Below are 15,009 nucleotides of genomic sequence, written 5' to 3'. Positions count from 1 at the left end.
GTGGGAAGAGGTGTTACTAGGAAGCATGCTCTGGGTGGTCCTCTGGGTGCACATGCGCAGTAGCTGTGCATGCCTATTCATTCCCCACGTCTCATTAGCACCTTAAATCTCTACCCAGGGGTGTGGTTTTTACTCTTATAATGAGCAAAGGGTCAGTCTGAGGACAGGTAAAATCAAAATATGCATGCTCTCTATGGGGGAAATTCTCTACTAGAGACAGCTTTGCTTGAATGAGCTTGACTACAATGTGAATGCTGGGGCTTATTGTGTTGACTGTACAGTCACCATGGTTGTTGCAACCTAAGGACATGATTACTTCCTTGAGTACCTATCCTGCTTCCTAGATATACCACTGTTTATTCAACCAGTCCCTTGTTGATATGCAGTAGGGCTCTTTCCAGTCTTTTGCTGTCACAAATAGCCCTGCCATGAATTCACAGGCACCACTTTTGAGTGCCTATTATATGCTTATCGTATATCGTCTTATTAATCCTCACTACCATCCTGCAAGTTATCATCATTTTGCCTGTGAGAAAACTAAGAGTTTCTTGAAGGTTATATTTGTTTTCCATTGCATTCCTGACATTTTATTGAATGAATAAATGTAACTCAACTAGTAAATGGCAGTGCAGGAAACTGAAGCCAGGGCTGTAAGCCTAGATCTGTCTAGCCCCAGAGGTTGCATTCATTATGGTCTAGCCCTAGAGATGGCCATCCACAGGGAGTGCACAAAATGATTCATTTGTTTGTGGATAGAATATAACAGGATATCTAATTAGGTTTTTTTTGTTCGCTTGTTTGTTTTTTTGAGACAGAGTCTCATTCTGTTGCCCAGGCCTGAGTGTAGTGGCACAATCTCAGCTCACTGCAACCTCCGCCTCCCAGGTTCAAGCAATTTCTGGCTAATTTTTGTATTTCTAGTAGAGATGGGGTTTCACCATGTTGGCCAGGCCGGTCTTGAACTCCTAACCTCAGGTGATCTGCCCGCCTTGGCCTCCCAAAGTGCTAGGATTACAGGCATGAGCCACCGTGCCTGGCGGGGGGGTTTTTTGTTTTGTTTTGTTTTCCTTCCTTCCTTCCTTCTCTCTCTCTTTCTCTCTCTCTCTCCCTCTTTCTTTCTTTCTTTCTCTCATCTTTTCTTTTCTTTCTTTTTTTTTTTTCATGATGGAGTCTCACTGTGTTGCCCAAGCTGGTACTGAACTCCTGGGTTAAAGTAATCCTCCTACCGCTACCAATGACTTTCTTCACAGAATTGGAAAAAACTACTTTAAAGTTCATATGGAACCAAAAAACAGCCCGCATTACCAAGACAATCCTAAGCCAAAAGAACAAAGCTGGAGGCATCACGTTACCTGACTTCAAACTATACTACAAGGCTACAGTAACCAAAACAGCATGGTACTGGTACCAAAACAGAGATATAGACTAATGGAACAATGGAACAGAACAGAGCCCTCAGAAATAATACCACACATCTGCAACCATCTGATCTTTGACAAACCTGACAAAAACAAGAGATAGGGAAAGGATTCCCTATTTAATAAATGGTCCTGGGAAAACTGGCTAGCCATATGTAGAAAGCTGAAACTGGATCCCTTCCTTACACCTTATACAAAAATTACCGCCTAAGACGGATTAAAGACTTAAATGTTAGACCTAAAACCATAAAAACCCCAGAAGAAAACCTAGGCAATACCATTCGGGACATAGGCATGGGCAAGGACTTCATGACTAAAACACCAAAAGCAATGGCAACAAAAGCCAAAATTGACAAATGGGATCTAATTAAACTAAAGAGCTTCTGCACAGCAAAAGAAACTACCATCAGAGTGAACAGGCAGCCTACAGAATGGGAGAAAATTTTTGCAATCTACTCATCTGACAAAGGGCTAATATCCAGAATCTACAAAGAACTCAAACAAATTTACAAGAAAAAAACAAACAATCCCATCAACAAGTGGGCAAAAGATATGAACAGACACTTCTCAAAAGAAGATATTTATGCAGCCAGCAGACACATGAAAAAATGCTCATCATCACTGGCCATCAGAGAAATGCAAATCAAAACCACAATGAGATACCATCTCACACGAGTTAGAATGGTGATCATTAAAAAGTCAGGAAACAACAGGTGCTGGAGAGGATGTGGAGAAATCGGAACACTTTTACACTGTTGGTGGGACTGTAAACTAGTTCAACCATTGTGGAAGACAGTGTGGCGATTCCTCAAGGATCTAGAACTAGAAATACCATTTGACCCAGCCATCCCATTACTGGGTACATACCCAGTGGATTATAAATCATGCTGCTATAAAGACACATGCACATGTATGTTTATTGCAGCACTATTCACAATAGCAAAGACTTGGAACCAACCCAAATGTCCACCAATGATAGACTGGATTAAGAAAATGTGGCACATACACACCATGGGATACTATGCAGCCATAAAAAAGGATGAGTTCATGTCTTTTGTAGGGACATGGATGAAGCTGGAAACCATCATTCTCAGCAAACTATCGCAAGGACAAAAAAGCAAACGCCGCATGTTCTCACTCATAGGTAGGAATTGAACAATGAGAACACTTGGACCCAGGAAGGGGAACATCACACACTGGCGCCTGCCGTGGGGTGGTGTGGGGGGAGGGATAGCATTAGGAGATATACCTAATGTAAATGACGAGTTAACGGTTGCAGCAAACCAACACGGCACATGTATATATATGTAACAAAATTGCACATTGTGCACATGTACCCTAGAACTTAAAGTGTAATAAAAAAATTAAATAAATAAAGTAATCCTCCTACCTTGGCCTCCCAAAGTGCTGGGATTACAGGGGTAAGTTACCACACCTGGCCTCTAATTAGGTTTTTATCTCATCCTTTTAAAAATGCCTACTTTGTGATTATTTTATAATTACAAAAAAGAACAACATAGAAGATATGTATGGACTTTACATGAATAAACAAACATTCACATATTAGGCTGTATTCTCAGACACTGTTTTGTTACTAAGGGTGCATGACCAAAACAGGTTGAAGACCACTGACTTCTGTCTATGGCCATACCACCCTGAACATGCCCGATCTCGTTGAGACCACTGACTTCTAAGATTTGGAGATTTTATCAACTCTACCTCCCCTATATATTCCCTTTTAACAGTGGCTCTTAACTGGGGGTGATTTTGCTCTTTCCAGGCAATGTCTGGGGACATTTTTGGTTGTCATGATATGGGGAGGGGTGCCACTGGCATCTAATGACTAGAGGCTGGGTATGCTACTGAACATCCCACAAATCACTAGATCGTCCCCACAACAAGAGCTATCCCATACAAAATGTCAACAATGCTGAGGCTGAGAAACCCTGTCTCATACCCATCTCAAGAGTGAAAACTGAAATGGGAAAAGACAGCAGGATGTGGAAAAGTAAGTAGGGGGTTATTTATGTGAAACTGACAACTGTCACATTATATATGCTCAGTTAATGTCAGTTAAACAGAACTGAGGAATGTTAGAGCTGACTGTGGAGAGGCTTGGGGAGTGGGGAAGGAACATGACAATAAGGGGAGAAAGCACAGGGCAAGAAGAAGAAAGGGAAAGGGACAAGAAAAGTATGGAAAAGCCGGGCACGGTGACTCACACCTACAATCCCAGCAATTTGGGAGGCCATGGTGAGAAGATCGCTTGAGCCCAGGAGTTCAAGACCAGCCTGGGCAACATAGGGAGATCTTATCTCTACAAAAAAAAGGTTTTAAATTAGTCAAGTATGCACCTCAAAAACAAAAAAAATAGTGTGCACCTGTGGTCTCAGCTACTTGGGAGACTGAGGTGAGAGGACCACCTGAGCCTGGAAGGTCAAGGCTGCAGTGAGCCATGATTCTGCCACTGCACTCCAGCCTTGGTAACACAGTGAAACCGTGAAACCCTATCTCAAAAAAAGAAAAAGAAAAGAAAAAAGAAAAGGAAGGAAGGGAAAAATAAAAGAATTATGAAAAGGAAGTGTGGCAGATCACTCTTTTAAAAGATGATTACAAGATCTCCCATCCTGCTTGCTCTTACCATGTGACACTGACATTCCTCACATTGCAAGGTGGAGTTTATATTTCCTTCCCTTGAATCTAGATGGGCATGGGACTCCAACAGAAATAATGCTATGTCATAAAAGGTGATACAGCTTCCACCTGGTCTTTTTGGGATGCTCACTGCTGGAACCTAGTCTACATAAGGAAGTGGAGAGATCACATGAAGAGGCCACATGTAGATGTCCTGCCTGACAACCCCAACTGAGGTCCCAACTGACATCCAGCATCAATGGCCAGTTGTGGGAATGAAGGTGCCCCTAGATGACATCAGCCCCGACCCTGAATCATCCCCAGTCCTCTGTGTCTTCCAGCTGAGGCTCCAGACATTGTGGAGGAGAGCCAAGCTCTCTCTGTTGTACCCCACCTGAATCCCTGACCCACAGAGTTGGTGAACGTAATGCGATGGTTGGGTTAAGACACTTAGTTTTGATGTGGTTTGTTATGCAGCAGTAAGGAACTAGAACAGAAAGGGTGCAGGGACATGCTGGGGGCTCTTGGACAGTCATTGGTTGTGTGCTTTATATGTTAGTTAGGTTAATGCTAGCTGCAGTAACATACAAACCCCAAGTTTCAATGGTTTAACACAACAGAAGGTTATTTCTTACTCACGTATTTGTTCAGTGTTCCTAGTGAGTGGACAGCCTACCATTAAGTCATTCAAGTACTCAGACTACTTTCTTTCTGTAGCTTCTCTGTTCCCTAGGGCTTGGAGTCCTCTGCATCGAGAAAGCAAAACAAGGGAAGAGAGAATGGGGAAGGTACACTTGCTTCTTCATTGTCTTGTCCCCAAAGTGACACACATTCCTTTGGCTCACATTTTACTGGAGAGAACTGGTCAAATGACCCCACCTAGATCTGAGGGAGGCTGGGAAATTCAGGCCCTGGTTGATTAGTCCTTACTAGAAACAATTCTAAATTGTGGGAAGAGGAGCATCAATTCTGCCAGACTTTAGAACTCAAGTTAACAAATTAAAATGATGATAATGACATTATCCCTCCCATTTCCTTTGCTTTTATCTCCCTGGAATAGAAGTAAAAGGATGGAATTTTTGCTCACTCCATGGCTTTTGTGTAAGACCAGCTTTTAATTCAGTGGTAAACTAGAGGCTACTGTAACATGGTAGTTAGGGACATCGACTCTGGAGCCCTGCTGTTCAATCCTAGCTCGGCTACTTGCTACATGAGACCTTGGGCAAGCTTCTTGACCACTCCAAGCCTCAGTTTCCCCATTTGTAAGATGAAGGTGATGCTAAGTATAGCACCTAACTTATAGGATTGTTTTATGGGTCAATTCTTGTAAGGTACAGAGTAAGTACCAATAATGGTCAGCTACTGTTGTGGAAGAAGGGAGCGTCGGCTTCTGCAGATACAAACACTATCTCCCCATGCCTTTTCTACACTCTTTCATCCAAGAGACTTAAAAATAAAAACTTCCTCCTCTTTTATTATAAAGCAGAAACCTCTTCAATCAATTTTATACTTTTTAAAAATAACCCACGTCCAAGCAAGATGGGTTTTTTAAATGTCTAAAAAAATAGTTCCCTCTGTAAGCAAGGGTTGATCCACTTTGGGGGCATGGCTCTGCCAACTGAAGTGTGGTTTCCCTGTGTGAGTTTCAATAAAGGTGAGATGGAATTTTTTCATTATGTTTTCAAAAGATTGAGCAGAGAAGAAAAGGGTCTTGATGTAGCATCTCAAGGAAAGTCCTGTGTTTCTCCGAGTACTATCTTGAGACCACAGGCCAACTTTTCAACAGATTGCTGCGTGTAGCCATCTTGGGGCTGGGTGGGCAGTGAGTGCTCAGATTGGTACCATAGACTGGGAGGAATTCAGGGTGACTGCGGGAGATGAAATCTCAGATGGGATGATGCAGCCTGAGTGTGTGGTGGGGAGAAGTAGGGAGGTGGGACTTAGGGCGCCACGTTCTCATTCATCCTACCTTTTCTCTTACTCCTTTATTCTACCACCTTCTCTTCTCCACCCATCCCCAAAATGTAAAGCTCCACGCTGAAGGAATCAGGAAGGGATGTCTTTCATCTTGGAAAAGGAAATGTTTTAGAAAACCAGAAGATGAGGAGAAGGGGAAAAGTAACCACTTGCTTTGGTCAGCTTGTGTGTTCAGTGATATTTTATGTAAACGTGGGGTTTCAAGTATAGAGTTGTAAGATATTTCTGATACCTTCAATCAAGTTTATTATATTTCAGAAGTACTTGTAATAGGTAATCAAATTTACAATATTCTGGAGGTGTCTTTTTTTTTTTTTTTTTGAGATGGAGTCTTGCTCTGTCGCCCAGGCTGGAGTGCAGTGGCGTGATTTTGGCTCACTGCAACTTCCACCTCCCAGGTTCAAGCAATTCTCCTGCGTCAGCCTCCCGAGTAGTTGGGATTACAGGAGCGTGCCACCACGCCAGGCTAATTTTTGTATTTTTAGTAGAGACGGTGTTTCACTGTGTTAGCCAGGATGGTCTCGATCTCCTGACCTCATGATCCACCCGCCTCGGCCTCCCAAAGTGCTGGGATTACAGGTGTGAGCCACCGCGCCCAGCCTGGAGGTGTCTTTAATCAGTAATTAAGGTGGATATTTTGGAGGTACTTAAAATTAGTAACCACCTTTTTGGTGGGGGCCCTGACTGTTTAAGCATCCACACCCTTTAACTTGCCAAGGATCAGTATCCAGATCAAATATGTATTGCCAGCCGGGCTGGTGGCTCACGCCTGTAATCCCAGCACTTTGGGAGGCCGAGGTGAGTGGATCACCTGAGGTCAGGAGTTCGAAACCAGCCTGGCCAACAGCAAAACCCCGTCTCTACTAAACAAAAAGTAGCCGGACACGGTGGTGGGTGCCTGTAATCCCAGCTACTCAGGAGGCTGAGGCAGGAGAATCGCTTGAACTCGGGAGGCAGAGGTTGCAGTGAGCCGAGATCGTGCCATTGCACTCCAGCCTGGGCGACAGACAGAGACTCCATCTCAAAAAAAAAAAAAATTTATTACCCAGATGATTTTATTCAGGAGGAAGAGGGGAGGAAGGAGAGAAGGGAGGGGAGCTAAGGTGGGGGTGGTGGGGGCAGCAGCAGCAGAAGGCAGTGGGAATCAGACATCAATAATGACCACCTTGTTTTCCTCTGAGTTGGCTTCAGCCTGTTTATTTTGCAAGTAACGTGTATCAGGCGCCTGATATAAAATTTAGATTTTGGATGACTTACAGTTGAGTCAACTTTGAGTTGGCTATTTTTGGACTACAAAAGATCACAAAGATCCCTAACTCCGTTCACCTTTGTCAAGGGTTGAAGAAGGGGAGCAGAGAGTCGGGTCACATGGAGAACCTGGAGTTCTACAATTCAAGGTTATAATGCAATTCTCATCACATTTTTTGACTCATAAGTTTATTGTACCATCAGTTGTGGTATATTATTCAGGACTTGTTTAAATGTGCTTATTTCAGCTAGTAGCAGCCTTGCCTCTCCTGTTTCAGTGACAGTGTTTAGAGCTGTGTTTTTCAAACTTAGGTTAACGCTGAGTAATGAGTCTTAGCACTATTTATTTATTTATTGACAAGGTCTCACTCTCTCACCCAAGCTGGAGTGCAATGGCATGATGATAGCTCACTGTAACCTCAAACCTCTGGGCTCAAGCAATGATCCTCTCGCCTCAGCATCCCAAGTAGCTAGGACTACAGATGCATGCCACCATGCTGGGCTAATTTAGGTTTTTGTATAGATGAGGTCTCACTATGTTGCCCAGGCTGGTCTCAAACTCCTGGCCTCAAGCAGTCCTCTCATATGAGCCATCACACTGGTCTCTTAGCACCATTAAAAAAACAAACAAAGAACAGAAAAGGAATACAATAGCGTAAGAGGCCATCACACACAGTAAGGGTAAGCATTGTTTGTGAAATATTGTGTGTGTGTGTGTGTGTGTGTGTGTGTACTGAGTCTCAATGTAAAATGTGTTTTTTCATAGGCCGTGGTCAGAAAGAAGTTGGGAGGCTTCCAGTACCAGACAAAATGGAGTAAGGCACTGCAGTCTCTGCCACTGATCACAACTAAAAATTCTGGACAAAATGTAACTAAGGACTCCGAAAAGTAAACAAGCAGCCAAATTATGGAAGGGAATCAAAGCTTGAAGAAACTATCTGTATGGGGTGAGTTTCCTCCAATTTTTCTTCTTTTCTATCACAGCTTTGAGCTGAGAATAGGTCCAGTTGGGGAGCTTCATGGTAGCAGAGACAGCAGAAACTCTGAGAGAAACACCATCTCTTTGACCAGAAGACTTAGGAAAAGGATCCCTGTGAGCCAAAGAGTGTAGAGTGAAATCCCCATTAAAACTATTTCATTTTCTCTCTCCTAGATCTGTCCCCAAGATGGAGAGACAGAATTTGCAGTTTGAACCTCATTAGATTGATTGCCTGCTAAAACAAACAAAACAAAAACAAAGTCAACACTTTCTGTTTTTTTTTTAGACGGAGTCTCGCTCTGTCGCCCAGGCTGGAGTGCAGTGGCACGATCTCAGCTCACTGCAAGCTCCACCTCCCAGGTTCACGCCATTCTCCTGCCTCAATCTCCAGAGTAGCTGGGACTACAGGCACCTGCCACCACGCCCGGCTAATTTTTTTTGTATTTTTAGTAGAGTCAGGGTTTCACTGTGTTAGCCAGGATGCTCTCAATCTCCTGACCTCGTGATATGCCCACCTCGGCCTCCCAAAATGCTGGGATTACGGGCATGAGCCACTGCGCCCGGCCCTATGCTTTCTAAAGCCAGGGTGAGCAAACTTTTTCCACAAAGGGCCAGATAATAAATATTTTAAACTTTGTGCCATACAGTCTTCTATCACAACTACTCAACCCTGCCATTGTAGTGCCAAAGCAACACAGTATGTAAATGAATCAGCCAGGCTGTGTTCCAGTAAAACTTTACCTATAAAAACAGGGGGAAGGCTGGATTTGGCCTGCAGTCATAGTTTGCTGATTCCTGCTGTAGAAGAATTTTAACAAGATTCAGAGTCTCACACCATATTAATACTATTCAAAATATCCAGGATGCAATCCAAAATTACTCCACAAAGCTCTAGAAAATGTTATCAATTTTTATGGGAAAAGATGATCAAAAGATGCCAGCACCAGAGAGGATGTAGAGAAATAGGAACACTTTTACACTGTTGGCGGGAATGTAAACTAGTTCAACCATTGTGGAAGACAGTGTGGCGATTCCTCAAGGATGTAGAACTGAAATACCATTTGACCCAGCGATCCCATTACTGGGTATATATCCAAAGGATTATACATCATGCTACTATAAAAACACATGCACACGTATGTTTATTGCGGCACTATTCACAATAGCAAAGACTTGGAACCAACCCAAATGTCCATCAATGATAGACTGGATTAAGAAAATGTGGCACATATAAACCATGGAATACTATGCAGCCATAAAAAAGAATGAATTCATGTCCTTTGCAGGGACATGGATGCAGCTAGAAACCATCATTCTGAGCAAACTATCACAAGGACAGAAAACCAAACACCACATGTTCTCACTCATAGGTGGGAATTGAATAATGAGAACACCTGGACACAGGGTGGAGAACATCACACCCTGGGGCCTGTTGTGGGGTGGGGAGTGGGAGAGGGATAGCATTAGGAGAAATACCTAATGTAAATGACGAGTTAATGGGTGCAGCAAACCAACATGGCACATGTATACCTATGTAACAAACCTGCACGTTGTGCACATGTACCCTAGAACTTAAAGTATAATAATAAAAAAAAGCAAAAATAAAAAAGATGCCAGCACCAATATGACCAAGAGGTTGGAATTATCAGATAAAGACTTAAAACATCTATTGTAAGTGTGCTGGATGAAATAATGGTAAACACACTTGTAATAAAGGGAAAGATAAAAGTTCTCAGCAGAAAAATAGAAACTATAAAAAGAACCAAATGGGAATTTTAGAACCAAAAAACACAGTATCTGAAATAAAAATTAACTGGATGGGCTTAACAGCAGAATGGAGACCACAGAAGAGGAAGTCAATGAACTTGAAGATAGATGAAGAGAAATGATCTATTCTGAAGAACAGAAAGAAAAAAAGATTGGAAAAATAATGAACAGTCTCAGGGTCTAATGTTCATATCACTGGAGTCCCAGGGGATGAATAACAGATTGGTGCAGAAAAGGAAATACTTGAAGAAATATGCTCTAATTTGATGAAAGATATAAAATTATAGATTCAAGAAAATTAGTGAACCCCAAACAGGATGAATGCAAAAAATGAACAAACTCCAGAAAACAAACACAAACAACTTACACTCAGACACATAATCAAACTCCAGAAACTTAAAAAAAAAAAAAAATCTCAAAAGCAATCTGAGAAACAATATAGAAGTTCCTGAGAAAATTAAAACATAGAATTATCAGCAATTCCACTTTTGAGTATATACTCAAATAATTGGAAGCTGGGTCTCGAAGAGATGTTTGCACACCCGTGTTCATAGCAGTATCATTCACAATAGTCAAAAGATGGAAGCAACACAAGTGCCCGTCAACAGATGAATGGATAAATAAAATGTGGTATATACACACAATCAAAATTTAACCTTAAAAAAGGAGGGAAATTCTGATCCATGCTAAAACGTGGATGAACCTTGAGGACATTATGCTTAGTGAAAGAAGCCGGTCACGAAAAGACAAATACTATATGCTTCCACTTCTGTGAGGTATCTAGAAAATTCAAATTCAAAAAGACAGAAAGTAGAATGGTGGTTGCCAGGGCCTGGGGGCAGAAGAGAATGGGAGCTGTTGTTTAAAGGGTATAGAGTGTCAGTTTTGCAGGGTGAAAGTTTTGGAGATCGCACGCAATGTGAATGTGCCTAACACTACTGTACACTTAAAAATGATTAAGATGGCAAGTTTTCTGATATGTACATTTTACCAGTTATTTGTTTTTAAAAAAAGCCTGAGAAAAATAATGAATTAAACACAGAAAATTATTCAATGACTGTAGATTTCTTGTTTTTTTTGAGACGGAGTCTCGCTCTGTCACCCAGGCTGGAGTACAGTGGTGCAATCTCAGCTGACTGCAACCTCCACTTCCCAGGTTCAGGTGATTCTCCTGCCTCAGCCTCCTGAGTAGCTGGGACTACAGGCATGGGCCACCATGCCCGGCTAATTTTTGTGTTTTTAATAGAGACGGGGTTTTTCACCACATTGGCCAGGCTGGTCTTGAACTCCTGACCTCGTGATCCCCCCGCCTCGGCCTCCCAAAGTGCTGCGATTACAGGCATGACTGTGGATTTCTTATCAGAAGCCATGGAAAAAAAGATGATGGAACAACATGGGTAAAGTGTCAGAAAGTAAAAAAAAAAATCTATATCACGAGAAAATAGATTCAGGAATGAAGGCAAAATAAAGGCATTCTCAGATGAAAGAAAACTAAGAGAACTGTTGGCAGATCTGTTCTAAGTGCTAAAGAAAGTTGTTTAGGCTGAAGGGAAACAACTATATCAGAAAGAAACCTGGAATTTAAGGACTGAAGGAAGAACATGACAGGTAAAATCTCCTCTTCAGTTCCTTCAAATATGTACGACTGTTGAGAACAAAATGATAATAATATCTGGTAAGGTTTTCAATGGATATAGATGTAATTCATGTAACGATTATAAAGGAAGGAGGGATTAAGGACCTAAATGGTTGTTAAGACTTCTGAATTTTAATTGAAGAGATAAGATATAAACTCTAAATAGACTGTGAACAACTTTAGGTATGTATATTGTAATCTTCGGAGCAATCTCTTAAAAAATTTATATAGCCAAAAGCCAATAAATATGTTATTCAAATAATTCAAAAGGTGACAGGAAAGGATGGGGGGAAGTAACAAACATAAAAGGGAACAAAAGAAAAAGATAAAATGGTAGACTAAATCCAACCATATTAATAATATTAATTGCAAATGGCTTGAATGTACCAATTAAAAACAAGAGATTGTCAGGTTGGATTGCAGAACAAGACCCAACTACATTGTCTTTAAGAAATCCATATTGAGGCTGGGCACCGTGGCTCGTACCTGTAATCCTAGCACTTTAAGAGGCCGAAGTGGGTGGATCACCTGAGGTCAGGAGTTGGAGACCAGCCTGGTTAACATGGCGAAACCCCATCTCTACTAAAAATACAAAAATTAGCACGGTGTGGTGGCGGGCACCTGTAATCCCAGCTACTCAGGAGGCTGAGGCAGGAGAATCGCTTGAACCCAGGGGGCAGAAGTTGCAGTGAGCCGAGATTGACCCACTGCACTCCAGCCTGGGTGACAAAGCAAGACTCCATCTCAAAAAAATAAAAAATAAAATAAGAAATCCACATTGAACATAAAGACATAGATAGGTTAAAAGTAAAGGAAGGAAAATAAGTTTGGAGACCAGTGGTTTGAAGAGGTTTGGGCTTTCCTTTCAGATAGCTGGGTTGGGTGGGGCAGGTTTAGTGGGGTCACTATTGAGACAAGCTTAGTATCCATACAAGCAAAAGTAGCCCAGGGTCTGGCTCCCAGATTCCCCACAATGGCTCTCACTTCAGGCAGGGACTGTCACACTCACCCTGCAGAAGCCACACCACCTGCCGAACCAAACTGAACAGGGATTCTCCTTGCTTCCAAGAATTCTAATTCAGCCTTTGCCAAAGCAAGGGGATGCCTTTCCTTGGGAGATGCCTTGGTTGGCCATGGTTGTGGGCCTGTGGCACCTATCCTGGCAAGCTGGCACAGGCTCAGAAGACCCTGGTCTTGTGGTACTGTACTTTAGGCTGATACTGTGGGAAGCTCATCTTTTTCATCATGAATCTAAAATCATCACCTTGGCATCTATGGCAGCTTCTAAAACTGTCTCCAACCAGGAAATTAGTGTTGGACATCCTGAGAGAGGTAGAGGTATGAAAGGCTCAGTTACTGGGGCTTAGTTTTCGCCTCCAATCCTCAAAGTTGTACATAACTGTTTTGAAATGCAAAGTCCAGTCCAAGGCAAGCCAAATGCTGTCAACAAGAGGCTCTTGCCTCTAGAAGCAAATAAGTCACTGAGGAATCTATGCCACTATCCCTTTGCAGATCAATACAAACAGAGGCAGGGCCTATTTTAAGTAGAACCTTGTAGAGATTTAAATTGTAGAAATATTGGATAAACCGTAGATTAGAGTATGCCAGGATTAGTTCGGAAGATTTCATCAATTTTCTAGTCATGATCTAACAAACCTGTCTCAGAAAATGCTTGACTTCCTGCATAAATGAAAAACAGAATGTTTGAATGAAGACTAGTTCAGGTTAGTTATTTTTAGTCTCAGGAACAATTAATGGCTTCAGTCCAAATAATATCAAGTAGAAAGTATTCGTGTTTTACGACAAAGGTTAAATTACAAAGTTAATTGTGAAGAGTGACTTAGATTTTGAACACGCATTCCCTTTCTGTATGCTTATGGGAAAGTCTGTCTCTATTGTAAACTTATTTTTATAAGTTCTTTTTGTAGAGACTGTTACCTGAATCCTAATGTCTGTGTTCCCCTTCCTCCATAGTACCAGAATCCTTTTAGCCAGGCATATGTCTGCCTGAAATGGACTCATCTTCCCAACCTCTCCTGCAACTAGGTGCAACCTACCATGGACTAAGTTCTGCTGTGAGTTGTAGGAGGAGGTACAATGGGGCACCTTCCTGGAACCTTCCTTACAACACTGTTGGCACATTTCCTTTTTCTTCTTTGTCACCTCTTTAATTCATCCTGTGGCTTGGAAAGTTGGTGTAAAAATAGCTGGAGTGCTGGCTACCATGCTGACCATGAAGACCTAGGGAGGGAGTCCAGGTACCTAAGCACTTTGTGAAACAGAGTCATCTTACTAGCCCTGGGTTGCCTACTTTTGGGCATTTATGTGAGGGAGAAGTAAATTCTCATCCTGTGTAAGTCACTGTTATTTATTTATTTGTTTATTTATTTAGAGACGGAGTCTCGCTCTTGTTGCCCAGGCTGGAGTGCAATAGTGTGAACTCGGCTCACTGCAACCTCCACCTTCCCGGGTTCAAGTGATTCTCCTGCCTCAGCCTTGTGAGTAGCTGGGATTACAGGTGCCCACCACCACGCCTGGCTAATTTTTTTGTATTTTTAGTAGAGACAGGATTTCACTATGTTGGCTCGGCTGGTCTCAAACTCCTGACCTTGTGATCCACCTGCCTCGGCCTCCCAAAGTTCTGGGATTACAGGCATGAGCCACTGCGTCCGCCCTATTTTTGGTTTTTATTACACATAGCTGAATTTAATTTTTATGTGGTTCCTAATGACTGAAACCAAGAAATACTCTCAAATAAATCCTAGGAAGGAATTCTGGGTGGAGAAACCATTCCAACCTGTCCTTTGTAGATGAAATGTAATCAGCTACCTTTCTTGAGATATTTCACAGTAAGGTTACCAAGAAAAAAAAAACAACAGCTGACAACCGAAAAAAGACTTAAAGACAATCCTACATGGCGGCCATCTTAGTTCTTTCTACTCTGGTGGAAACACACTGAACAGGCAAGCCAGGAGGACACCGGGTCTCTGGTTCTGACTCTGATGCTGTCTTCCTTGGCCTTGGCTTGGATTTTCCTCTGCGAATGAGGGGGTTAAACTAGATATCTCCAAGTTTTCATCCAGCACTGAAATTCTAGTCTGTTTTCTACCCTCTATCAGATAACATACTTCTTTTAGATGAATGAAATAATCCATGTAAAGTGCTTCTCAAAGTGGTTGGCAAGTTAACTCTTTTTAGTAGTTTCATTTACCAAGTTACTCATTTTTGTAGTTTCCACAGTACCTTTCATAGATGGATGTCGGGTAAGTGTTTGCTGGTTGATCCTCTGCTGATGCCCTGCTCACCTCACAGAAGGCCTGACCACACACCTACTAGTATCAGCAAGAAAA

At 42.1% G+C, this 15,009-nt stretch overlaps 1 long non-coding RNA gene across 2 annotated transcripts; it reads left to right on the top strand.

Annotated features, from left to right (window-relative positions):
- The first annotated feature begins 3,312 nt into the window (after window positions 1-3,312).
- On the top strand, window positions 3,313-14,969 carry LOC105375040 (uncharacterized). Of its 2 annotated transcripts, XR_007059566.1 has the most exons (4): window positions 3,313-3,426; window positions 8,044-8,224; window positions 13,634-13,751; window positions 14,891-14,969. It is a non-coding gene; the product is annotated as an uncharacterized LOC105375040 (long non-coding RNA). The 2 variants fall into 2 exon arrangements; XR_926762.3 differs by lacking the exon at window positions 14,891-14,969 and having other exon boundaries at window positions 13,634-13,835.
- The last annotated feature ends 40 nt before the right edge of the window (window positions 14,970-15,009 follow it).

This window comes from Homo sapiens, chromosome 6 (assembly GCF_000001405.40).
Source record: "Homo sapiens chromosome 6, GRCh38.p14 Primary Assembly".
Classification (NCBI taxonomy): domain Eukaryota; kingdom Metazoa; phylum Chordata; class Mammalia; order Primates; family Hominidae; genus Homo; species Homo sapiens.
Note: the sequence above shows the minus strand (reverse complement) of the source record. Positions and strands in the feature narration are given on the sequence as shown.